The sequence below is a fragment of the Homo sapiens genome, chromosome 1 (assembly GCF_000001405.40).
Source record: "Homo sapiens chromosome 1, GRCh38.p14 Primary Assembly".
NCBI lineage: Eukaryota > Metazoa > Chordata > Mammalia > Primates > Hominidae > Homo > Homo sapiens.
This window is the reverse complement of record NC_000001.11, coordinates 49025019-49051308: the sequence shown is the minus strand read 5'-3', so window position 1 is coordinate 49051308 and position 26290 is coordinate 49025019. Positions and strand designations below refer to the sequence as shown.

At 38.3% G+C, this 26290-nt stretch overlaps 1 protein-coding gene and 1 long non-coding RNA gene across 12 annotated transcripts in view; one reads left to right on the top strand and one right to left on the bottom strand.

Moving 5' to 3' along the window:
- AGBL4 (AGBL carboxypeptidase 4) overlaps positions 1–26290 on the top strand; it is a 1501444-nt gene that overhangs the window by 972646 nt on the left and 502508 nt on the right. For all 10 annotated transcript variants that reach the window (NR_136623.2, XM_017002595.3, NM_001323575.2 and 7 more), the window contains one exon: positions 5509–5725. Coding sequence is in view for 9 of the 10 variants with exons in the window: in XM_017002595.3 (XP_016858084.1) it covers positions 5509–5725 (217 nt within the window). In the remaining variant the exon portion in view is untranslated. The remainder of the gene's footprint in view (positions 1–5508; positions 5726–26290) is intronic.
- Positions 1202–25714, bottom strand: LOC105378706 (uncharacterized). Of its 2 annotated transcripts, none has more exons than XR_947309.3 (3): positions 25644–25714; positions 2896–3002; positions 1202–1288 (listed from the first exon to the last, which is right to left on the bottom strand). It is a non-coding gene; the product is annotated as an uncharacterized LOC105378706 (long non-coding RNA). The 2 variants fall into 2 exon arrangements; XR_001738042.2 differs by lacking the exon at positions 25644–25714 and adding an exon at positions 20079–20119.

The window sequence follows — 26290 nt, the reverse complement described above, 5'->3', positions numbered from 1 at the left end:
AGATTCAGAAGGTGCTTAAAATTTGCTACTTCCTTTGGGGATATCTGAGTGACTTTGTGATCCCCTTGTTTTGCACACCTTTTTTAAGACTTACAACCTGGAAAGAATGATTTTTTATTATGTCCCTTTCTGCTAATTTGAAGAAAAATGCTTGTGTCTACTAGGGTTGAAACACCTTTATTCCCATCTGTATTTCTCTGCTTGATTAGAGAGGAAATTAGGGCTCCTGTCTTTCAAGGCTCCTGAGGAGGACCAGAGAATGCTGCTGTTTTAGAGAAACTTATGTACTGCATTAGGTCTGGGACTTCTCTTCTTCCTTATGTTCTGGTAACCTCCAAAATGATGCTTTGGGAATTTAGCTGAGAGGTCTCAACAGAAAGTAGAGAGGATAGGTGGGAGGGGAATCACTCATTCACTCATAAGTCAACTTAGTCATTTAACAAAATACGTTGAGCTCCTCTTTAAGGCCAAGTATTGTACTAATGCTGAGGATTTTGAGGTAAATCAGAAAAACAGCAGTGTCTGCAATTAGTATTTAGAGCAGTTAATTCATCCTGAAGTTGTTGACAAAGACTTCAAAGAGGAACTATCATTTGAGCTAGGCCTCACTTCTCTATACAGAGATGCACTGTGTAGAAAAGAATGGGAATAGCATTTAAAAAGGCAAGGAATAGCATTTAAAAAGGCAAGGAATAGCATTTAAAAAGGCAAGGAGGTTTTTGAGAATATGATATATTCAGGGCATGACTTAAAGTTTCACTAGAGAGAGTACAATGTATATATATATTAGTGGAGCTGACATTATTTATTCACAAACATTTATCCATTCATAAGTGTTCTTGGCACTTCATCTATAAGCCTTTGTATAGGTCCCGGAGAACTAGAGATGAACAATATGTACTACCTGCCATCCAGGAGAGCTCAATCTCATAGTGGAGAAAGGAATATGTTTAAACTGATGTAATGAGATAGAAGTTATAATAGAGTATGTTCGTGAATGTGTTGAGTGTGTACATGCATGAGAGAGTGCGTGTGTGTGTGTGCTTACTCAGAACATTCAGTCATGCATGACTGAATCTGAGGATGTGAGTTACAGACCTCCCTCATTCATGTGGATGTCCTCAGGATGCTGAACTCAGGACAAGGCCTTATTCCAAGAGCTGGATCAGCCTTTAGTCCCCAGGTCTTGAAAGCACACACTACAGGACCTGAAATCTTCCTGGGTGTCTGGCAGGATCGAGTGTTGTGCCATTTTCTTTCTGGGGTCTTCTGGGGAGTCGTGAACAACCTGCATAAGCATAAAGGTCCTTGACTCTACCTTTATTTCCATACCATTGATATAATATGAATAACTTCAGAGGATTGTTGAGAGGAATAAAGAAAATACATTATAAAGTACTTAGAATGGCCTAGCATATGGTCCATGCTATATAGATATTAGGAAATAGTACTATAATAATTATTATTATTATTTTATTTTTCCATGGATATCATAGACTATCTGTGTTAAATGGAATCAGAAGTCTGCCTTGTCTAACCTAACATCAAGTACAGGATCTTTATCCCCTAAAGCTTCTAATACTTGTATTTTCTCTGTAAGGCAGCCCTCTCTACTTTCTCTTCAGCTGAATGTTAAAGAGTCTCTACTTTATACTGAACTAGAATCTGCCTTCTTGTGATACCTACCAATGTTATTCTGGGATAAGAAGGTTTTTTCCCTTTTTTTCATTGCTTTTTACATAAATAAGTATTGCTTGAGACCGCTCTATGCCATGACTAGAGGTAAAGAAGTAACACAGTTTATATTTTCAAGAAGCCTACTCTTTGAAGAAATATCCAAATATCCATTTACTTTTATTGTTCATTGTTAAGAGACAAACTAGATGATAAAAATCTTTTTATATAATTTTTTAAAGTAGAGAAAAATAAGGAAGACTCAATAGTCAGGGAAGGCTTTAGAGAAGAGCTGTGTTAAAGGGTAGTCAGTTATACATTGATTTGTTCATTTAAGAAATATTTAAACCTTTGTTGACAATTGACTATATGCCTCATCTATCAGTAGGAATTCACCAAGTATGCAAGATGGTGGGGAAGGCAGACCAGGTAGAGGAAAGATCGAGCACAAAACATAGAGATATTGAAGGTATGGCACAAAATTGTGTTAGGGAGTTATGAGTAGTTGAATATAAACAAAGCAAAGGTTTCAAGGAGGGTGAAATGGATGATGATGCTGGAATCACAAGGCCATCACAGGAAGCCTTGTGGGCCAAACTGAAATGTGAGGATAGGAAGTTGCTTAAAAGGTTTTTAGCAAGAGAGTACTATAAAATCAGGTTTTTCTGGAAGTAGAAGGTAAGGCTGTAAGTTGGATGGCAAGGGGAAAAGGGGAGTGGAAAGATACTGTAGGGATTATGAATACAGGCTTTTGAGCCACACTGGCCTAGGCTTAATACAGGATCTGCTGCTCACTGATCTTGTGACCTCAGGGAATCTTTTTTTTTTTTCCTCTCTTGGCTTCAAATTTTTTTATCTATGTAAAGGGATAACAGCCCCTAGCTCATAAGGTTATTATGAGGATCAAATCATAATGCATATAAAACACTTAACACAATGTCTGAGACATAATAAACAAAATAAGAGAAAAATAAGAAGTACATCCCAAATGAAGGAGACGTTTTTTCCTCCCTAGTTTCAGCCCCCTTTGCTTTATTCTTTGCATTACTTGAAAGTCTTGAATTTTGCCTGCTGAGCCCTCCTCAAATAGATTTCTGTTTGTATCCTTGGGAAAGTCTAGAAAATCTAAGCCCTGAACAGCATCTCAGTTTCCCTGAATGATTGCCCTAGAGCCCATTAGCTCTACTTTGTCTGCTAATCAGGTTAGGCATCCCGGCTCACCCAGGAGAGGAGCTCGACAGCTGCAGGCAGTAGATGGATTCTCCTGATAGCACATAATCAAATTCAGTGGAGACAGCAGGCTCTCAGAGTCAAGTTGCAGAACTTGGCTGGAAGAGGAGAAAACTGTGGTCACAGAATTGAAAGCATATACCCTGGTTGGATATACTGGTAAATAAAAAGCTGAAAACAGCATCATAATCTGAGACCTTATGACTGTAGGAACCACTCGTGAATGAAGACATACTCATCCAGGGCTCTAAGAGACTCAAACTCAGACCGTCAAGTCAGAGCCTGAAGTGACTATCACAGACCTTTGGCTGGAAACATCAAGGCCATTTTCACAGACATTCTCCCCAAATACAAATCGGGAACCCTGGGACTCGTGTATGCCACCAGCCTGCCTCACTTAACTGCATCTTCAATACCATCACAAATGTAGATCATCATGTATTCTCTCCATACCCACATCCTTGCACTGGTCTGTTCTTTCTCTAATCTTGACTCTTCACTGCTTCCTTCCCTCTCCCTCTTCAGACCTCTTCATCTTCCACTTTTTCCTCTGGTACTCAGCTCCATGGTTAATAATCCCACTTGGATCCTCAGTCTTTAAGTTCACTTCTTCCTTTACCCCTTGTTTTAACCAAACTAGACTTGGTTAAAAGTCTATGATGCTTAAATATTTGCTAAATAAAACAATGAACTGAGGCCTGACCCTCTTGGAGGACATTACTACCCCAATTGCCCTCTCAAGAAATCCTCATTCTTCTATACTGCATGTACAGAAGGATCAGGAGGGGTCATTTTCCTCCTCACTCCTCATGCAACTTCCAAGCCATCATTTCTCTACCTCATCACTGATAACTCCAGAATTTAGGGTAGCAATCTAGTTAGAAGAAGGAGTGCCTATAAGATTTGTCTTGAAGATATATTTCCATTATAAGAAGACTGTTATTTATGTATTTATGGGCAGTAGCTTTGGGAGTAGGAGGCAAATGGACTCTATTGGTGGGCCAAACACCTTTAAACAACCTTTGATACTACCTCTGACTTTTATGTGAAAGCTCTGTTTCTTTGTTGCTTAGACTGCATATCTATCATCCTGTCTTTCTCCTCAGCACTTTCAGATTCTTACCCACCTTAGACCCCATGGCCCATCATTTTAGTCACTTTTTCTAATATAATCAAATACCAGAATATTTAATTAAATTTAATATAATCAAATGTATGTACAGGCATCAATGCCATGTAACCACTGCTGTTCCAAAGGAATCCCACAGCCACACCTCCCACCCTGGCCACTTAGCTTCAGAAAGACACTAAGGTAGAAACAAGATTCTGCAACAAACACTAGTATGTTATAATGCTCTGTTCTATCTGTTAACAGTTTTCTCCAGGTTGTTCTACCTGGAGACAGCACCCTTCTTGTTTTTCTCAATTTCCCCTCCTAAACCTTCCTCCTCACATTTGTCTTCATATGCCCCTGTAGTCTTTGGCTTCTCAATTGAATGCCAAGCCACTACAGGTGAGCCTTACATCCTTCATCCACTGTATCTGCACTCCCCAGGAGCATCCCTTCCTTTAAGGATCTTCCAAATCAACCTTGGTGGTTAAGACTTATTAAGCAATTGATAAAAAAGCAAGAGTTACACAAAATGTGGAGCTGAACTGGCCTGGAATTGTCCATGTAGTTAGTATCATGGAAAGGGCACAGTTTTAGATGAGTTTTGCAGGATTAGCAGGATTTGAAATGATAGAAATGAGAGACATTCACTGCAGGGAAACATTGTGAAGAGGTTGGATATCATAAATAATGAGAGGGTAGAGTAACTCTTTAAAGTGGGTAAATGCAAAGACATTATGGAAACTATGACTGCAACATTTTTGTTTCCTGTTTGCATCTCAGTGTTTAGCTTAGCAAAATTGCCCACACAGCATATTTTAAAGCACTATTTCCCAAAGTGCTTCTGTGGAAAATTAGTCTCATGGAATGCTCTGTAGAAAATAATAGTAATAATTTAGAGAAATGTTGAATATTTCCCTTTCCTTGAATATATACAATGCATATGAGTTTATTTTAAAAGTTCTTAATTAGTCTTATAATTTAAAAAACTTGACTTCCCCAGGAAAAGTAGGCCTCTCCCATTTATATCTCTATAGCATCACAGTCTTTATTTACCTTCAAGGCACTTTTAGAATCTGTAATTATATTGTCTACTTATTTTTAATATTTTACTGACCGCTTCCCCACTATTATCCATGAGGACAGAGATCTTCCTTGTCTTATTTATTATTGTACATCAAGGCCTGGGCATTTGATGCCACATATGTTAAGTGCTCAAAATAAGGATAAACAAGTGAATAGAATGTGTCTATTTTTGTTTAACTTTGCATTTTCCAGACAGTTGAGAAAGGGTGGCACTGGATTGTGAGCAAAGAGCTGCCAGATTCAGGTCTGTTTTAAACAATATGTGGTTTGTGTTGTCATTCTCCCAGCCCCATCACCCATGGTTCTTGATGTTACAGTTTTTCTCCAGGCATTGATTTATATGTATTACCTTTTGAAGCTTGAACGAATGTCTCATATGCCCAAATTTCTTTGTTTATATATTTTAGGCAAAGGCTGCCACCCAAAAATGTTTACTACTACCGCTGCCCGGACCATAGGAAGAACTATGTGATGTCCTTTGCCTTTTGTTTTGACCGAGAAGAAGATATTTACCAGTTTGCTTACTGCTACCCATATACATACACTCGCTTCCAACATTACCTTGACAGCCTGCAAAAGAGAAACATGGATTACTTCTTTCGGGAGCAGCTGGGCCAGAGTGTGGTAAGGCCTGTGCCAGGTTTGGGTTACTCATTTGGAAACAGGCAAACTTGGGATAGGGACTTAACACGGGTTTTTATGCAATGCAAATAATGAATACTGGTGCTTTCCAGAACTTTTAATAATTTACTAACTACAATTAAACAATTATATAATTAGTATTAATTTAACAATTCTTTAAAGTATTGTTTTTATTGTGTGATTTATTGCGACTGTGGGCACCAGGAAGTCACAGAATAAGATATGAGACAGATGGTTGTTTTTCTGAATGAAGCTGATAAAGCTCTCTAGCAAAATACAAAATTTAAGTGAATCCCAAAACCTCTGAGAGAAAAGGAGACTTTTGCTAGGTGTTACAAAAGGTATGAAAGCATTTTATTACTGTGAGCCTCTGATAGGAAGAATACATTTCTTAGTGAACCAAACTTGCCTGCAGTACAGGTTAGCAAGTGGTGTGCAGTTTGGTTGTGATGGCCACAATGTGCCCTGTCTCTGTCATCCATCAGTTCCTGACTGTTTTTTCCTGCTCCAGGTTTAGTTTCCTGGGTCTAGAGATTTCAGTCTCCTATTCCATAATTGTTCCCTATTGCTGATGTGACAAACTACCACAAATATGGTAGTACAAAACAACACAAAATTATTATCTTATAATTCCAGGGGCTAGAAATACAAAATGAGTCTCACTAGGTTAAAGTCAAGGTATCAGCAGATCTGCATTTCTTTTGGAGGCTTTAAGGGAGAATTTATTTCCCTGCCTTTTCCAGCTTCTAGAGGCTGCTTGCATTTCTTAGTTTGTAGTTCCCTTCCATCTTGAGAGCTATCAGTGGCTGGTTGAGTCTTTTTCATGCTGTATCACTTTGATATGAGCTCTCTTTCACTTATAAGGATCCCTGTGCTTACAGTGGATTTACCCAGATAATCCAGGTTAATCTCCATATAGCAAGATCTTTATCTTAATCATATCTGTGAAGTCCCGTTTGTTATGTGAGGTAACACAGTGACAGGTTCTGGGGATTAGGAGTTAGACATCTTGGGTTGGGGAGTGTTGCATCATTTTGCCTACCACATCTTCCTACTTCCTTTTTTTTTTTGAGATGGAGTCTTGCTCTGTCACCCAGGCTGGAGTGCAGTGGCAAGATCTTGGCTCACAGCTCACTGCAACCTCTGCCTCCCAGGTTCAAGCAATTCTCCTGCCTCAGCCTCCCGAGTAGCTGGGATTACAGCCACCACACCCAGCTAATTTTTGTATTTTTATTAGACAGTGTTTCACCATGTTGGCCAGGCTGGTCTCAAACTCCTGACCTCAGGCGATCCACCCGCCTCGGCCTCCCAAAGTGCTGGGATTACAGATGTGAGCCACCGTACCCTGCCTCTTCCTACTTCCCTCTCTTCCTCTTGTGCCCAAACTAGGATCTGAAGTTGTTCTTCATAGTGGATTCATAGGTTTTACTCTTTGTTGTCAGCAATACTTTGGTTGCTAATAAAGAATAAGCAGGTGCTAATTTGGTTTTATGTTTTACTCTTCAAAAAGTGTGGATTGTGCCCCTAAAAGAGGCTTATTGGACAGGCTCTAAACATTCTAAATGAGGATACTGGTGAAATTGGCAGAAGATACTTTACTTGGGGTTCTGATATGTGTTGCTAGTTAAATGGACTCAGCCTAGTGACTGTGAGTTTCACATAAAAGTGAGACGCATTTCTAAATAAATCCAGGATACCTCAAAAAAGAGAGCAGTAAAGAGGGCCTATGTGCAACTCAGGTACTGAGAGACAAATCTGGTCATGTTATTCTTGTAGTCTGAGATTCTGTGTGCACTATGATTTCATAGCTAAATATCTTTTCTCTACTCCAACCTTCTTCCCAACAGTGCTTCTCATGGTATCTTCCCATTTGTATCTGTTGCCTATATATTTTGAATTGATAATTGGTATACATGGTATATGAGTCAGCATGCTAGCAGGAAACAGATGGCAGCCTCAAATTAGGATAATTTAAGGAAGGTTTAATAAATGGGTTATTTACAAGGTGTGGGCAATGTATGCAATGACAAAGTACAGTGAAATTCTCTAGGGCTAATAACAGCTCAAAGGGAATAAAGGGAAGGAAGGTTAACAGAACACAATAGTAGAGAGTCATTTAGTGGGTCATCTCAGAAAGAATTGGTGACCTTCAGTTAAGGTACACAGTTAGCCTAAGATAATCCCATAGAGAGTGGTGAGAAAAATAAATATACAGACCTCATTCTCTTACTTACATCTGATCTCCTTCTAGGAGTCCATATTGGCCAACACAACCAGAATCCAGAGAACAAAGGAGCCCATTTATGTGATTCATACAGATCATCCTCCCAGGGAAAATAAAAAGATATAGAAAGGTGGAGAGTGGATGCAGAGGAACAAATATAATACATTAAGTGCACCTGGTCCAATTAACAGTATATTACTGAACAGTGAGCTTATTTGAGAAGGAATTGTCAGAAAAATTCTGAGATGAATATTTACCAGACATATGAATTGCGATCTTTTTTAAGAGAATGGGAAGTTCATTCATTACTCATAACATTTAAGGCAGGATCTGTACATTTCACTCCTGTGCCCACCCCAACCTTCTCTTAGATTTATGACTAGGCAGAATGTAGGTGCACAATGAATGTTTATTGAGTGAATGATTGAAACAATGAAAAAATGAATTAAGAACATGTCTGGAAGCAGTGTGAAGAGCTGAAAACAATAAAAAGCTAATAAGAAAAACAATAGGATCAGTTAAGCTTTCAATAATAGATATTCAAAATAACATATATAAAATTACAACTTAAACATGATAGACGTTTATTTCTTTTCAATGTAAAAGTCTAAATGTAGGCAATCCACAACTAATTTTATGACTCTACTCCTTGAAAGCCTCAAAGAGTCAGGTTCTTCTAGCTTTCTTCTCTGTCATCCTTGGGATGTGGCCCTCAACCTCATGATTCAATATGGAATTCTACCATCGTATCTGTATTCCATGCAGCAGGATGAAGGAGACGGTGGAGAAAGAAGAAGCAGTTCTGTGGCACTGTCATTTACTAGAACTCATCCACATTTAACTAAAGGAAGGAAAAGAAATGAAGTCTTTGTTCTGAGTAGCCAAGTTTTAGCTAAAAATTGGTGGTCCTCTAACTATGTGGGAGAATTGATATTGAGGGACAGCTTAAAGTCGCTGCCACAGGATATCTGAATTCTGCTTTCAGCTCTAACATGAAACTACTTGTATTACCTTGAATTCTATGTTCCCTTTCTGGGGATAATTTTTTTCACCTATAAAGTCAGAAAATTAGACTTGAATAAAAGTTTTCAAATTATCCTCGAGGAATTCCTCAGTTGGAAAAAGTAATAGTTTGAAACTCCTGTCCTACTTCAGAGCCTGTGAGAGGCACTGTGTACTTGTATATATACAAGGTATATATACAAGTCTTGATATACTTCCAGAAGTATATTCTGTACCAGGGGAAAAAGGACATCTCAAAATAGCTCTGATACTTTAAAACATATATAATTAAGGATAGAATGAGTTTTTTAAGAAGTTAATAATAAAAATAAACATCATGGAGAATGTCTTTAAAAGCTAAGATTTTGCTTTTAAGCCATCTTGAAAGATGGGTGGGATTACAGAATACAGAGTTGATAATAAGGTAGCCCAGAAAGCAAGAAAAGCCAGAGCCATTGCCTGATGGTGGTAGTTGGTTAGAAGTCTGGTGTGATTGGAATAGGAAATTCATGGGGCTACTGGAAGATTAGGCTAGACAAGAAGATTCGGGCAAAACTCTGGAAAGCCCTGATTTTCATATTGGCTGCATCCTTTATTCAGATTCAACACAACACACATACCGGGTTTCTTACTTTATATAGACTATTTGGTTTTTTTCTCACAATAGTTTTGTAGAGTAGGCAGAACTGTCCCAGTTTGGGGGTAAATAATCTGAGGATAAAAAATAAGTTTCTTCGTTAAGACCACATGACTAGTTCATATCAGGGCCAAGATTTAAAACCATGGTTTCTAACACCATGTCCTGGCCCTTTGATGGACAGTTTAACACCCAAAAAGATTTTTGAGAAAGGGATTTACCTTATCCAAAGCAGCATTTTAAGAAAGTAAATTTAATGGAAGTACAGGGTGTACCTGTGCCATCTGGACTAGATCAGGGAAGCTCTGTGGGTTGGCTCAATCCTCTGTTCTGGACCTTGATGAAGGTACTAGAGATTTTAAGGCTTTCTGGCATACTTTTGCAGACAAGTTGATTCTCAGTTACCAGGGTATTTGATATGGCTTGTGTCTGAAGGCATCAGTATAATTAGTTAATCCTTATTCCAATTCGAAGGGAGGATAATTACAAGTGGGAAGGCTAAACATGCCAGCATCTAGATCTCAGGGAGAGCAGGCAGGAAGGAAGATTTTGAATTTTTAGTGCTAGAACTATCAATCACTATGGCCATAGTTGTTACTGGTACTAATTATATCATCCAAGAATGCATTTTATTTTGTTACCAGTAGCCCCTTTTAAACCTACTGAACAAAACCCCTTTGAACATGTATTTAAAACCGTGATCTGCCATTTAAGATAAGGACATCATGAGAAAGATATTTTTACTATTGTTTTAATAGCTTTATTGAGGTATAATTTGCAGTGTATAAAATTTATGCATTGTAAGGGGATAATTTTATGATTTTTAGTACCTTATGATTTTTATAGAGTTGTGTAACTATTACCACAATTTGATTTTAGAACATTTCCATCATCTCAAAAAGTTCCCTTGTTAATTCTCACTTCCAGTCCCAGTCGCAGGTAACTGCCGATCTGCTGACACCATAAATTTGCCATTTCTGAACATTTCAAAACAGAATCTTATGCGTCTTGCATTTTTCACTTAGCACCGTAATATGGATGAACCTCAAAAATATTATAGCATGTATCAGTAGTTCATTTTTAGTACTGAATAGTATTCCATTGAAAGGTATACCACATTTTGTTTACCTATTCTCCAGTTCAAGGACATTTGGATGGATTTCGGTTTGGACTTATTATGAATAATGCTGCTATGATCATTCATGTACTTATCTTTGAGTGGACATATGAATACATTTTTCTTGGAGTGAAATCATTAGGAAATATGTTATTGTTCAACTTTTAAAAGATAAACTGTCAAACTGTGTTCCAAATAGTAGTGTCATTTTATATCCTTATCAGCCATGTAGGAGGGTTACAGTTTTCCCAGATGCTAGCCAACACTTAGAATTATCTGTAATTTTTATTATAGCCTTTTAGTGGGTATATCTCCTTATGGTTTTAATTTGTATTGCCCTTATGACTAATTATATTGATCATTTTCTCATGTGCTTACTTGCCATTCATAAATCTTCTTTGGTGAAGTGTCAGTTCAAATCATTTGCCCATTTTTAAAACTGGGTTCTCATAAGAGTTTTAAGAGTTCTTTATATATTCTAACACAAGTCTTTTGTCAGATATATGTTTTGCAAATATTTTCCTCCAAACCATGCCTGTCTTTTCACTCATTCTCTTAATCTATCTTTTGAAGAATAAAAACTTTAAATTTGAAGTCCAATTTATCAAATTTTTAATGGATTATGCTTTTGGTGCTATTATGAATGGCAGTACCTGTGCACCAAATCCTTGCCAGCATTTAGTGTTGTCAGTGTTTTTGATTTTGGCCAATCTAATAAGTGTGTAATTGTATTTCATTGTTGTTTCAGTTTTAATTTCCAGAAGACATATGCTGTGGAGCATCTTCTCATATCTAAGAACTCTTGTCTAACAGAAGGCCACAATGATTTGCTTTTATGTTATTCTTCTGAAATATTTATATATGTAGCCTACATTTAAGTGTATAGTTCATTGTGAGTTAGTTTTTTATGTGGAATAAAGTAAGGGCCGAAGTTCATTTATTTGCACATGATAACAAATTTTTCCAGCACCGCTTGTTGAAAAGACTAATCTTTACTCAGGAATTATCTTGGCAACTTTCTCTGATGCCTCTGCTCAGTTTGTTTGTTGTTTGTTTGTTTTTAATATACTCTTTTCTTTTTTAGAACGGTTTTAGTTTCACAGCAAAATTGAGAGGAAGGTACAGAAATTTCTCAATATACTTCCTTCCCCTACACATGCATAGCCTCTCCTGTTATTAACAATCTTTCACCAGAGTGCTACATTTGTTACAATTGATGAACTTACGTTGACACATCATTAACACCCAGATTCCATCATTTACCTTAGAGTTCACTCTGGGTGTTGTACATTCTATGGGTGTGGACAAATTTATAATGGCCTGTGTCCACCATTTTAATATATACAGATTAGTTTCATTGTTCCAAAAATCATCTGTACCTCACCTATTCATCCTTCCCTTCCCATAACCCCTGTCAACCACTGATCTTTTTAATGTCCCCATAGTTTTGTCTTTTCTAGAATGCCATATAGTTGAAATTTGTATAGCCTTTTCAGATTGGCTTCTTTCGCTTCGTGACATGCACTTAAGTTTACTCCATATCTTTTCATGACATGATAGCTCATTTTTTAGCACTGAATAAGAGTCCATTGTCTGGATATAATACAGTTTACTTATCTACCTATTGAAGGATATCTTAGTTGCTTTTAGGTTTTGGCAGTTATGATAAAGCTGCTGTAAACATCAGCATTCAGGTTTTCATGTGGGCATACATTTTCAGCTCCTTTGGGTAAATTCCAAGGAGTCCAGTTGCTGGATTGTATGGTAAGAGTAGGCTTAGTTTTGTAAGAAATCACCAAACTGTCTTCCAAAGTGGCTGTACCATTTTACATTCCCAGTTAGCAATGAATGCGAGTACCTGTGCTCCACATCCTTGCCAGCATGTAGTGTTGTCAGTGTTCTTGATTTTGGCCATTCTAATAGGTGTGTACTGTATCTCATTGTTGTTTCGATTTGCATTTCCCAAGTGACATATGATGTAAAGCATCTTCTCATATGCTTATTTTCCATTTGTATATCTTCTTTTGTAAAGTATCTGTTAAGGTCTTTGGCTCATTTTTATTTGGGTTGTTTGTTTTCTTATTGTTGAGTTTTATATAGTTTTGTTTTTTCTTTCCTATTTTAAGCCTTAATTCCCAGGGAATCAACCCTGTGTTTATGCAGGTTAAAGGTAAGCTACTATTGGGCTGAGGTTATGTTCAGCCACCCTAAGCCAGTAAGGCTTCTATCTTCTGCTGGTGGATCTGTGTGTGAGTAGGGAAGTATGTTCAAACTTTGGACAGTTTTCAAGTCTGCTTTACTTTCCCTTTCATATTGTGTTGCCTATGTGCATATGTATAGCCTCAAGATTGGTCAGAAGAATATTATGTGAGTATTATTATTATTAAATACCTACCATGTAACTAGCATTATCTAGACTCTGAGGATTCAGCAGTGAAAACAGATTCATGTCTTCATGAGACTTACATTATGGTAGGAAGAGACAGACAATATTGGAGTAATTAAATCAGGAAAGAGGATCAGTTTGGGGAGTAAGATTTCATTTAGAAGGTAGCACTTAAATTCTGAGATATGTAAGTATTGTCTTCTCCCATTTGCATTTTTAAGATGGAGATTTAATGAGATTAAGTAATTTGTCTACATAATGCAACTGGAGTTTGAAGCCAAGTCTATGTGAACTTTATAATTATTTAGTGAATCCTTGCAAAGCTGTTCTTTAACACTACAAATATCTAGTGAGCATCTTCTGCCTGCCAGGCTCTATGTTGGATGCTGGGGAGAGAAGATTAACACAAAACACATTCTGTCCCTGAAAAGTACACAATATAATGGGTGACATAGATGTAAAAATGAATAAAAAGGTAAGATCTGGTATAATACAAGTAGTGGGCAGAGAAGGGGCACAAGGGAGTGAACGAAGTCTTAAGGAAGGAGGCATCTTTACTTGAGTATCAAACATGTGTAAAGAGGCTGAGATGCTATGGTGTGTCCTGACAGTGTTGCATGGCTCCTTGTGATAAAAGCACAGGGTCAGCCTAAGAAAAATAGGAAGGGTGGTGACAGAGGATGCAGGAGAAATAAGTAGAAGCCAAGTGAGGAGGGCCTTGAATGCCGAATTAAAGAATTTGGACTGTATCCTGAGGGAAGCTAGGAACCAAGCAAGAGGCAGTATGATCATTGTGACCCTTAACCCTTACATCTCTAAGCCTCCCCTGCTGGTGGCAGCTTACCTTCCTGATAAGAAGACGCTGTCTAGCTGGCTTTCCTTCCCACAGGCAAAGATCTTTGTTAGCCAAGAGTACCAGGAGGAAAACCACGAAGACTACATATATAATAATAGGAATGACATAAGAAAACCTTAAGAAATTGGCCTCTCTGATCTTAACACTTCAAAAGAATCTCTAGAGCTGCCAAAGATTATAGGGATTTCATTCAAACTTAGCAAATATATTAATCATCTCCTGTGGACAAAGACCTAAACTGTAAAAACCAGCATCTTCTTTTTTCTTTTTTTATTATTATACTTTAAGTTTTAGGGTACATGTGCATCTTCTTTTAACGTTCGAGAAACTTCACTTTTCAGTCTCGGCTCACACACCTCTTCAGCAGCCGTGCTCCATCCCAGTGACAAGAAAGACCCACTATCCTCAAAAGAGCTCCCTCCCTGTGACTTCCTCTCTTTGATTCTAGCCCCACCCTCTGGGCCTACCTTGCAAGTTCTTGCTCTTTTAGCTCATAGTCAGGCCTATAAAGATACCAAGACAAGGCTGAAAAACTGAGAGCATTGCTTGAGGCCAAGAGTTCAAGACCAGCCTGGGCAATATAGGGAGACCTCATTACTACAAAAAAAAAAAAAAAAAATTAGCTGAGCATGGTGGTGTGTGCCTGTAGACCCAGCTTCTCTGAGGCAGAGAGATTGCTTGAGCCCAGGAGTTCAAGGTTTTGTTGGGCTACAATTGTGCCACTGCTTTCCAGCCTGGCAATAGAGGGAGACTCTGTCTTAAAATAAATAAATAAATAAGACAATCATATCAAGACACTGACTACATGCCCTTGATGAGTCTTCTCTTCTCCAAACTAATCTCTCTTTTCTCCTACCCCCAGAGAATTCAACATTTCTTTATACTCCATGGTGTCAAACTTTTTACCTTCTTTGTTGTTCTTCTTTGGACATGATCTAGGTTGTTATTTTCTTCTTAAAATGCTAGCACTGAATATAAAACTACACAGGGAATCTAAGCATGTACAGCAGAATAGGACTATTGCCTTATCTTGCTCTGGATGTTAGATCTCTAGAAATGAAGTCAGAATTTACATTAGCTTCTTTGGGCAGGCAGGCCTCTCTATAGTAGATTTTTTTGTTGCTGTTCTTTAAATAAATATATTTTTATTTATCTGATATTCTCTTTTTAATAAACCTCTTATTTAAAAAATTGATTTAAATTTATTTCTGTTTTTTTTTCAATGTTTTTTTAGATTCAGGAGGTACATATGCAGGTTTGTTCCCTGGGTATATTGCATGATGCTGAGGTTTGGAGTACAATTGATGGCATCATCCAGGTACTGAGCATAGTATCCAATAGTTAGTTTTTCAAACCTTGCCCCACTCCCTCCTCCCATCTACTAGTCCCCAGTTTCTATTGTTGCCATCTTTATATCCATGAGACCCCAGTGTTTAGCGGTCATTTGTAAGTGACAACATGCATAAACCTCTTATTTTGAAATAAGTTTAGGTTTATAGAAAGTTGGAGAGATAATATAGAAATTGTTCATATGCCCTTTGTAACAGTAGGTAGCTAGTCAGGCATGAGCAGGGCAGGAGAGAGCTCCCCACCTACACACACACACACACACACCCCAGGAGTGTCAGGTGACAATCAGGTGATAGTCAGGCTGTTGTTAATTGTCTCTCTAAAGTAATAATTGGTCACAGCTGGTGCCAGGGAAAGGCAGTCTCCTAATAGAAAACACCTGAAACTGGTAATCAACAGCTTTCCAGTAAGATCTCAGGAGGTGGGTGAGTGGGCTCAAGCATGCACATGCAGACAGCCCACCAGGGAAGAATCAGGAGAAAAGTAATGCAAGACCCCAGAAGTATGTCAACATATAAAACCCTGAGTCAGAAAGCCAAATCATGCACTTGTCTTTCAAGTCACCCTCTTGGCTCCTCCAAGTGTACTTTCTTTTCTTCCTTTCATTCCTGCTCTAAAACTTTTTAATAAACTTTCATTCTCTAAATCTGGCCTTGGTCTCTCCTTCTGCCTTATGCCCCTCAATCAAATTCTTTCTTCTGAGGAGGCAAGAATTGAGGTTGCAGTAGACCTGCGTGACTTGGATACCTTCCACTGGTAACACCTTCACCCAGTTTCCTCTAATGTTAATATCTTACACAATCATGGAGGATGTGTCCAAAGTAAGAAATTAACATTGGTTCATTACTAGTAACTAAAACACAGAACTGTATTCAGATTTCACCAGTTTTTCCACTAATATTTTTCTATTCCAGGATTCTTCAGAATACCATATTAGCTTATGGTAGATTTTAAAATAAAGCCTCTACACTTACCCTGATACAATACAACTTGTTGATTTTAGTCCTTTATTCCAGTCTGTTGTAATAATTTTGATTCTTGGATACTCTTATCTACAGGCTTAGTAATTTCACTCAGAAATTTTAGCGTACATACTTGTATTAGCCCATTTTCACGCTGATAATAAAGACATACCCAAGACTGGGTAATTTATAAGGGAAAGAGGTTTAATTGACTCACACTTCAGCATGACTGGTAGGCCTCAGGAAACTTACAGTCATGGTAGAAGGGGAAGCACATCCTTCTTCACATGGTGTCAGCAAGGAGAAGTGCTCAGCAAAAGGAGGGAAAGCCCCTTATAAAACCATCACACCTCGTAAGAACTCACTCTCTATCAGGAGAACAGCATAAGGGTAGCCACCCCCATGATTAAACTACCTCCTACTGGGTCCCTCCCACAACACATGGGGATTATGGGAACTACAATTCCAGGTGAGAGTTGGGTAGGGACACAGAGCCAAACCATATCAATACTTTTAAAGTATTAATTTAAGTCAGGAATGCAAGTGTTTAACAGGACAAGACCTGAGGCTAAGAACAGAGACCTAGGCATATTACTGGAGACTTCACCCTAGATTGGCATTTTTACATCAGTTTTATATCAATCTCTGGGTTTGGTTATGCTGCTAACCCCAGTAATATAAGTCATGTATGTGAAACAAGATTTTACTTTCCTCCAAATTAATCCAATCAAATTCATTTTAGTTCAAATTTTTAGTATCTCTTATGTGTTGTGTACTATGAGAGATTTAGAAATAAACAAGATATAATCCCTGTCCCCATTTCTCCATCTTGTCCATAAGGATCACGTACAACATTTTGTCTGATGGTTAGTTTAATGGTATGATGAATGAGAAAGAACCAGATGGCAAAGGGCAAAATTTAGATAAAGGAGTGCTTGCTGGGGAAGGATCATGTTAGGTAGGACTCTACAATAAGGCCCCTGGGTGATAGGAATCAACACTGGAACTCCAACCCCTTGTCATGGGATTGGCCCAGTTCTGCAATCTTTTGGCTCCCAGATCAGGGGTAGGGTGGGACTAGGATGCCTTTTACCTGAAGTCACAGTGAGAATGGTTAGGTAGCATAGGGAAGATTCTGAAAGCCCTGTCTTGAAAGATCTTCAGAATCCAAACCAAACTAAAAATCTGAGAAGTAAAAAAAAAAAAAAAGAAAAGGAAAAAGGAAGCTGAATCATGAAACCAGAGGAAAGAGAATGGAGAACATGATATAATCACAGAAAGCCAGAGAGCCAGGATAAGGAGGAAGAGGAGCAGATTGAGCAAATGTAAAGATATCTGGAAGAGTTGAAGATACAGAGTTTGGCAGATTCTACTACAGTCCTTGTGTGACTCTTGTGGAAAAGCAAGGATGTCGGAAAGGAGGTGAGAGAGGACTGATGACCTTGTGGGCAGGAAAGTCAAGGAGCAGAAGGCAATTCCACAGAAAACAGGGTGGAGAGGGCCAGCACAGTTCTGACCAGCACGGTAACTTCAAAATAAGCTAGTCTCCTTCTGTTCTTTCTGTTCCTTCCCGCTTTCTTCTTTTTCCGCCTTGATATAGTTGCAACTGGATACATGACCAAGCAAACATATGAAAAGTAATTACATCTTTTTGGATGAATTTTAAATTGAATAATTTTTGGAAGTTAGTAATATCAATTATCAGCCCCTAATCCACCTCTCAGTAGAGTTCCGTGGGCTCCCATCTGCACCAAACCATGTCCTGATCAGACACTCTAAATTAAACAAGTGTAGTGGTTTTGGCTCCCTTCCAGCAGGCCACTTCACAAGTCACCATTCTCTTGGCATAATTTTTGTTACTGCCTTCAAAAGGAGTCCAACTTAATTGGAGGCAGATATGTCATCTCAGTATCTAGCTGAGGGTCTTCCAGTTCACCCTGCTGATTCAAAAGACCCATCCATTCCAAACCTTAACCCTGGATGAATAAGGGCCTGGGAACAAAGGTGCTGGGAATTGTGACCCTGGGTCCTCCCTCTGCTAGATAAAGGAGGCATATGTCTGATTTACCTGAAGCTATAGAAGCCAACCGAGACTACCACACACCTGCTGCATTCCTGGGTTCCCTAGTTCAGAGAATGCATCGCCATCACTCCAGCTGCCCATGAGAAAGTTGTCCTATTTAACTTCTTCTTTTAAGTTATTCTCATATACTACCACCAAGTATGATCAAGGCTACAACTCAGTATCCATAGAATCTGTCCCTTCCTCATCTCTGCTGCCATAGCCATACTTCAAACTATCAGCATGTCCCAGGAAATCACAACAGCTTCTTTAGCCAAGGGTTACAACATATGAGGTGAACAGGTTTCCAGGCTCACTATCCTGCTCACACAGATATCTCAGCATTGCAATGGCTACCAGAATGTCCCAGTTCTCCTAACCATGTGCCACCTCTTCACTGATCCTGTGATGCCTGACCAAATACAGTGTAACCTCTTCACTGAACACCACCTCAGCTAGGTTGGAAGATTGCTGCTTTGAGATCATTATTTCCCCTCCCTTATAAAAAGAGATTATATGAAAAGACATGTTTTGAATTTTATGGCATCAGCCTATACAACCCCCTGCCACTCCTTGTCATTCTCTTCTACTGACATCTTGGACATTTCTATGAATCATGGAGGAGTTTGATCCATACTTGTCTTTTCTACTACACCACTGCTACCATATTCAATGATTTCGCTATCCATGAAAATAACCCATTGAACATCCACTCTGTAGTATATGATGAAATATCAAATTCTTAACATGGTCTGCAAGGTCCTGGATCATCTGGTCTCTGCCTGATTCTTCAACCTATCTCTATCCCACTTCCCTTGCTGCCTATGGTCTACCCACACTGGCCTTCTTACAGTTCTTTCTGTGACCATGGATTTTCTCCCTAACTTGTATACACATTGGCCCATCTACCTGGAATGTTCTTTCTCTATTGCCATTTGCCTAATTACTTCCTATTCTGCTTGCAGAAGCCAATGTAAACATTTTTTTCTTCATGGAATTCTTTCTTGTACCCTTTCTCAGACTAGTTGAAGAGCCTTTGTTGTGTACTTCTGTAATATATTCTATTTCTCTTTTAACAGACTTATCACTCTTCTGACTACTCATTCAACATTTTTCTTTAGAAGATTTTTAAACTCCATGAGGACAAGGACCATATCTGTCTTATATACTGCTCTATGCGTAAGGATTGTATGATGTCAGATGGGTCTTTATAGAAGGAACTGATGCTCTGTCTCTAGTCTCTCCTATGAAATCTAACCTCTACACCACTGCCAGAGAACTTCCTTTTCCCCCTTATGACTAATGATGTTGAGTATCTTTTTGTGTGCTTATTGGCCATCTATATATCTTTTTTTGAAGAAAGGCTATTCAGATCCTTTGCCCATTCTTAAACTGAGATTATTTTTTGTGTTTTTATTATTGAATTGTAGGAGTTATTCGTATATTCTGGATCCCAGTCCCTTTTCAGATATATGGTTTACAAATATGTTCTCCCATCTTGTAGGTTGTCTTTTCACGTTCTCTTTTTATTTTTAATTGACAAATAGTAATTGTATATATTTATGAGATACAATGATCAAATCAGGCTATTTTGCATATCCATCACCTCACATAGTTATCATTTCTTTGTGGTGAGAACATTTAAAATCTACCCTTCTTGGTGGTGAGAACATTTAAAACATGGCAAAATCCCATCTCTACAAAAAATACAAAATTTAGCCAGGCACGGTGTTGTGTACCTGTAGTCCCAGCTACTTGGAGGGCTGAGGCAGGAGAATTGCTTGAGCCTGGGAGGTCAAGGCTGTAGTGAGGTGTCATTGCTGCACTGCACTCCAGCCTGGGTGACAAAGTGAAACTGTTTCAAAAGACAAAGAAACAGAAAATCTACTCTTTTAGCAATTTGAAATATGTAATACATTTTTATTAACTATTATCACCATGCTATGCAACAGACCACCAAGATTTATTTCTGCTATCTAACTGAAACTTTGTACCCTTTGACCAACATCTTCCCTTTCTCCATTCACACTCCGTCACTCAGCCTCTTTTCACTTTCTTGATGGTATCATTTATAGCATAAAATTTTTAAATTTTGATGAAGTCCGATTGATCCATTTTTTTTCTTTTTTTCCTTTTTTTTTTTTTTTTTGCCTCTACTTAATCAGGGCTGCTAAAACAAAAATACCATAGACTAGGTGGCTTAAACCAACGGTCCCCAACCTTTTTGGCACCAGGGACTAGTTTTGTGGAAGAGACATTTTCCACTGACCAGCATGGTGGGGGTGGTTTCGGGATGAAACTTCTACCTCATATTATCAGGCATTAGTTAGATCCTCATAAGGAGCACACAACCTAGATCCCTTCCTTTCACAGTTCACAATAGGGTTCGCACTCCTTTGAGAATCTAATGCCACCACTGATCTGACAGGAGACAGAGGTCAGCTGGTAATGCTCTCTGGCCTGCCACTCACCTCCTGCTCTGTGACCTGGTTCCTAACATACCAGGGACCAGTATCCTGGTTGGGGACCCCTGGCTTAAACAACAGAAATGTATTTCTCACACTTTTGGAGGCTAAAAGTCCAAAATCAAGTTGCTGGCAGATCCAGTGTCTGTTGAGGGCCCACTTCCTGGTTTTCAGTCGGCTGTCTTGTTATATCCACATGGCAGAGAGCAGAGACAGAGAAATCGTGGTCTCTAGTGTGTTTTCATAAGAGCATTAAACCCATTCGTGAAGGTTCCACCCACAGTGACCTAATTACCTCTCAAAGGCCCCACCTCCTAATAGCATCACATTGGGGATTAGGATTTCAGCATACAAATTTTGAGAGGACACAAATATTCAGTCCATAGCATGTATCTAAAAAGCAATTGCCTGGCCAAAGGTCACAAAGATTTACTCCTATGTTTTCTTCTAAGAGCTTTATAATTTTCGCTCTTCCATTGATGTTTATGATTCATTTTAAGTTAGTTTTAGCAGATGGTGTAAGAAAATGTTCCAATTTATGCCTGTCCCATAACTATTTATTGAAAAAATTGTTCTTTCCCCCACTTTATTGTCTTGGTACCCTTGTCAAAAATCAGTTGACTATACATGTAAGAGTTTATTTCTGGACTTTCAGTTACATTCTATTGATCTATATGTCTATCCTTGTGCCAGTACAATACTGTCTTCATTACTGTACCTTTGTAGTAAGTTTTGAAATCATTAAATGTCAGCTCTCCAACTTTTTCTTCTTCAAGATTGTTTTGGCTATACATGGTGCCATGCATTTTTATGTGAATTTTAGGATCACCTTATCAATTTCTACAAAAAAGCCAGATGAGATTTTGATAGTTATTGCACTGAACCTGTAAATTAGTGTGGAGAATATTGCCATATCAACAATATTTAATTTTCTGATGCATGAATGTGGGATGTTTTTATTTAGATCTTCTTTAATGTCTTTCAAAAATATTTTATAGATTTCAGTATAAGCAAGGTTTGTACTTATTTTGTTAAATTCATTTCTACATATTTTATCCTTTTGAGGCTATTGTAAATAAGCTTGTTTTCTTAATTTTGTTTTGGACTTAAATACAAATTTAGCTTTGCATTTTCATTCTGCAACCTTTCTGAACCCATTTATTATTTCTAATTGTTTTTTATTAGATTCCTTAAGATTAAAACACAAGATCATATCATCTGCAAGTAGATATATTTTTACTTCTTCCTTTTATTTCATTCTTCTGTTTCTTTTCTCACCTAATTACCTGGGCCATTATGGATAGTTTAGTTGAATGTTAAATAGAAGTGGCAAGAGCAGACTTCTTTGCCTTGTTCCTTATCTTAGAGGTAAAGCATCCAGTCTTTCACCATTAAATATGACATTAGCTTTGGAGCTTTTTATAGATGCCCTTTATCATGTTGAGTAAGTTTTCTTCTTCTTCTAGTTTGTTGAGTATTTTTATCATGAAAGGGTGTTGGATTGTATCAAATGATTTTTCTGTGTCTATTGAAATGATCATGTGGTTATTGTCCTTTATTTTATTAAAATTGTATATTATGTTGATTGATTTTCAGATATTAAACCAACCTTGCATTCATGGGATAAATCCCATTTGGTCACAGTACATAATCCTTTTTATATGTTGCTGGATTCAGTCAGGTAGGATTTTGTTGAGGATTTTTGTGTTTATATTCACAAGAGATATTGATATTCAGGGGTTTTCTTTGGCAATGTCTTTGTCTAGTTTGGGTATCAAAGTAGTCCTGGCCTGATGGAATCATATTGACAGATTTGTTCTTTCAGCACTTTGAATACGTCATCTCACTTTCTTCAGCCCTCTATTGTTTCTGCTGACAAGTCAGCTATTAATCTTATTGGAATTCCCTAGTAGGTGATGAATCACTTTTCTCTTGCTGGTTTCAATATATTCTCTTTGTGCTAAGCTTTCATCATTTTGACTATGATGTGCCTGATTGTGGATCTCCATGAGTTTATCCTACTTCAAGTTTGGTGAACTTATTGGATGTATAATTATTTTTCATTAACTGCCTTGGGCATACTTGAGCATCTGGGCTGGTCTTCCTCTATTGGTATCACATCAAGCTATTACCCTGTATTAATCGCTAGCTGATTGTTCTGTTTTCTCTAGGGGCAATAATTGTTTCACAGTCTGATCCAGTTAATATAGACCCCTTTTGCAGGGGCAAGGTATTGCTAGTCTTTCAGGCTGCTCTGCCCCCTGAAGTGTCCTTCTTAGCTATCTTTCCTCCCTAATTCTTTATTCTAACCTTCTAGCTAGTCTGTTGTTTTACTTGTTGCTATAAATCTCATGTAGTGACCAGCTTCCTTTTATTTGCTTGCCACACTAGGATCTCTGTTGTTTTTGACATTACCCTTTGGCATAAATTTCACTACAAGCTGTTCCAAATGAACTCAATCCCCTTATGCAGTGTTGTGGAGTTATTTGTTCTTATTGCTTGCCATTCTCCCTGAACAGAACCTCTATGCCACTGCCCTAGAACTGGGGGCAGGGACAGTGCCCACTTCTCCTAGAGTGTCACCCCTGCTCTATGAGCTAGGCTCTGGGTAGGGACAGTAGCCCCTGGTCTTCTTGTCTTGCCCATCTTGGCCTGAAACCTCTGTCCTGCAAATTAGCTGGGCCGAGGGCATTTGGCTTCTAATACTCTTGGTCTACCATGCCTGGTTTAGAGTTTTCATTCTATGAGTAAGGTCTGGTGGGGGAAGGAAGACTTATTTCTTAGCAGCATCCACCTTGAATAGAGCTTCTTCAATATAGAATGGGGATGGGGGCTATGTGAGAGGTGCTTGTGGCCTGCCCCTCCCAAGGTGAAATCATAGCTATAGACTAGGAAGTAGGTAGAGAGGGAACTAATATTCTTGATGGCATACTCTTGGAGTACAGCTTCCATCCCACTGAGTTAGAGGGTGGGAATTTGAGCAGGTCATGGTTCAAATGGCTTTAAATGACTTCAAATGATTGTTTTTAAAAATAATTTTTAGGCTGGGCACGGTGGCTCATGCCTATAATCCCAGTACTTTGAGGGGCTGAGGCAGGTGGATCACCTGAGGTCAGGAGTTTGAGACTAGCCTGGCCAACATAGTGAAACTCCGTCTCTACTAATAATACAAAAAAATTAGCTGTGTGTCATGGCACACACCTGTAATCTCAGCTACTCGGGAAGCTTAGGCAGGAGAATCGCTTGAACCTGGGAGGCGGAGGTTGTAGTGAGCCGAGATCACGCCATTGCACTCCAGCATGGGCAACAAGAGTGAAACTCCGTCTCAAAAAAGAAAAAAAAATTAGCAGTTAAACGGTTGTTTTGCTGGGAAGAAGGTATGCTGTGCTCCTTCTACCACCATTCTGAAAGTTAATCTCTGCTGTAAAAAGCCTCTTTATACACAGCCTATTTCATTGACTCTTTTGACTTAAGTCCTCTGTTGGGCCCTCATTACAAATACAAGAAAACACAATCAATTTTATTGGAATTAAATAATTTGCCTTCTCCCCTTTACTGTCCCCTCCCCCAAAACCAGTAAGTGAACCATCAGTTGATATAAAGGGGAAAAATTAAATGAACAAATTATTCATTAAACAAATATTTATGAATCACATGTAATGAGATAGGAAATACTGGGAACCAAGGACATAGATGTGCTTCAGAAGTGGTTCTTATTTTTATGAGCTCATAATCAAATAGGGAAGAGAAATGCAAGAACAAACAAAAATTCTGCACCATTTAAGTTCATAATAGAAATATTCAGGATATCTGGTGAGCTGCTGAAATAAAGTCATTATGTTTGACTGTGCATTGTGTGAGGACAGGGACCATGCCTAATTCAAGCACAGATGTGAATTCTAAAGTGGTTCTCAGTGACTGTATATTGACTAACTGCATCAGTAAATGACAGAATTAGATGAAATTTGGCCCAGTGCAAATGCCCTTTCTCTAAAAATTATCCTTGATTCCCCTCAGCTATAAGTGAACTCATCAGCAATTTCTCTTACTTTCTGTAGACTCCTGGTATTTCCTGCCCTATTTTATGACTCTGTTGTGTATATCAAATTTCTTTTTCTAAATTGGTTGCTCCTTGAGCTTAGTAACTGTGCCTGATTTGCTTTCAGAGTTCTTTTTTGGCCCGACAGTGGGAAAGCTCAATAAATTTAATGTAATGTATATTATTTTAAATGCCTTGAAAGAACAAACAAGAGCTGAGACAACTTTCTCCCTTTCTTCTTCTAGGGCAGTGGACTCTGTACATACAGGAAAATGGTAGGATATTAGACTATGTAAACTAGAGCTCAATTTTTATGCAATCTATTTCTTTTGAACCTGAGTTTTTCCAAGAATCTCATATAGATATAAATATACAAAACCATCCCAAGCCAGATCTTATGGGGGCAATGACAATGTCCTAAAACTGATTTGTGGTAGTAGAGGCACACTTGGTAAATTTACTAAAAATCATTAAATTGCACACTTGAAATAGATGACATATTACATGTAAAAAATGCTTCAATAAAGTTGAAAAAACTCCCATTCTCTGAGCAAATGCCAAATATGAACCTCTTTTAGCAAGATTTTATTAATCAGTCTAGAGATTACAGAAAGCAAAGATGGTTATGAAAATAATAAATCCGGAAACTCCACAGCCCACTTATTATTTTTTCATTAAATATATTTATACTATGAATGCAATTTTCTCAGGTTTGTGAGATATTTTTGTATTTAGGGCATGTCTATGACTGAGGCAGGTGCAGAAGTCAGGCTGTTGGAGCTGTAATTCCTTCTTATTACCTTTGGGTATGGTCACACTTTGTCACCTCCTCTGAAGCCACATTTTCACTTGGTTGAATCAGAAGATATATAACATTAGGTCACAAGGCAATTTCTTTTATCTGTGTAATAGAATGTCATAGCCAAGAAGAATCCCAAGTTCTTCTGGTTCTAGAGTTTTAAAACTGTGCTCCCCATATCCCTGAGGAGGAGTGAGGGCTCTGACTTCTCTTGTCCTTTCTGCCAAATACACTGGAACATCCTGTTTATTGGCCTTCTCCATAAACTTAGTTTGAAGAAAAGACTTAACTGCTACTGTTTAAAGGCCTCTCTCTCTTTCTGTGCTGGAGACAGAGGGTCCAGAGAAGGGAGATAACTTTCCTGAGTCACCCAGCGAATTAGTGGGACAAGTTTAGTTGGAAACGCAGCTGCTGACTTCTAGATTAGCCTCTGTCCACTGCAACTCACTCCTCTTCCAGACCTGTTTGCAAGGTTTTCTTGTTTGTTTATCCACTCTCTGCAAACATTAACTGAGTACGTTCAAGGCAGTAAGAAAGAAATTAGGTGCATAAGTTAGTATAGTGTGGGCTACATAGGTTAGAACCTTAACTCTGCCACTTATTCACTGTGTAACTTTGGGCCAGTTACTCAAACTCTTCGTGCCTCTT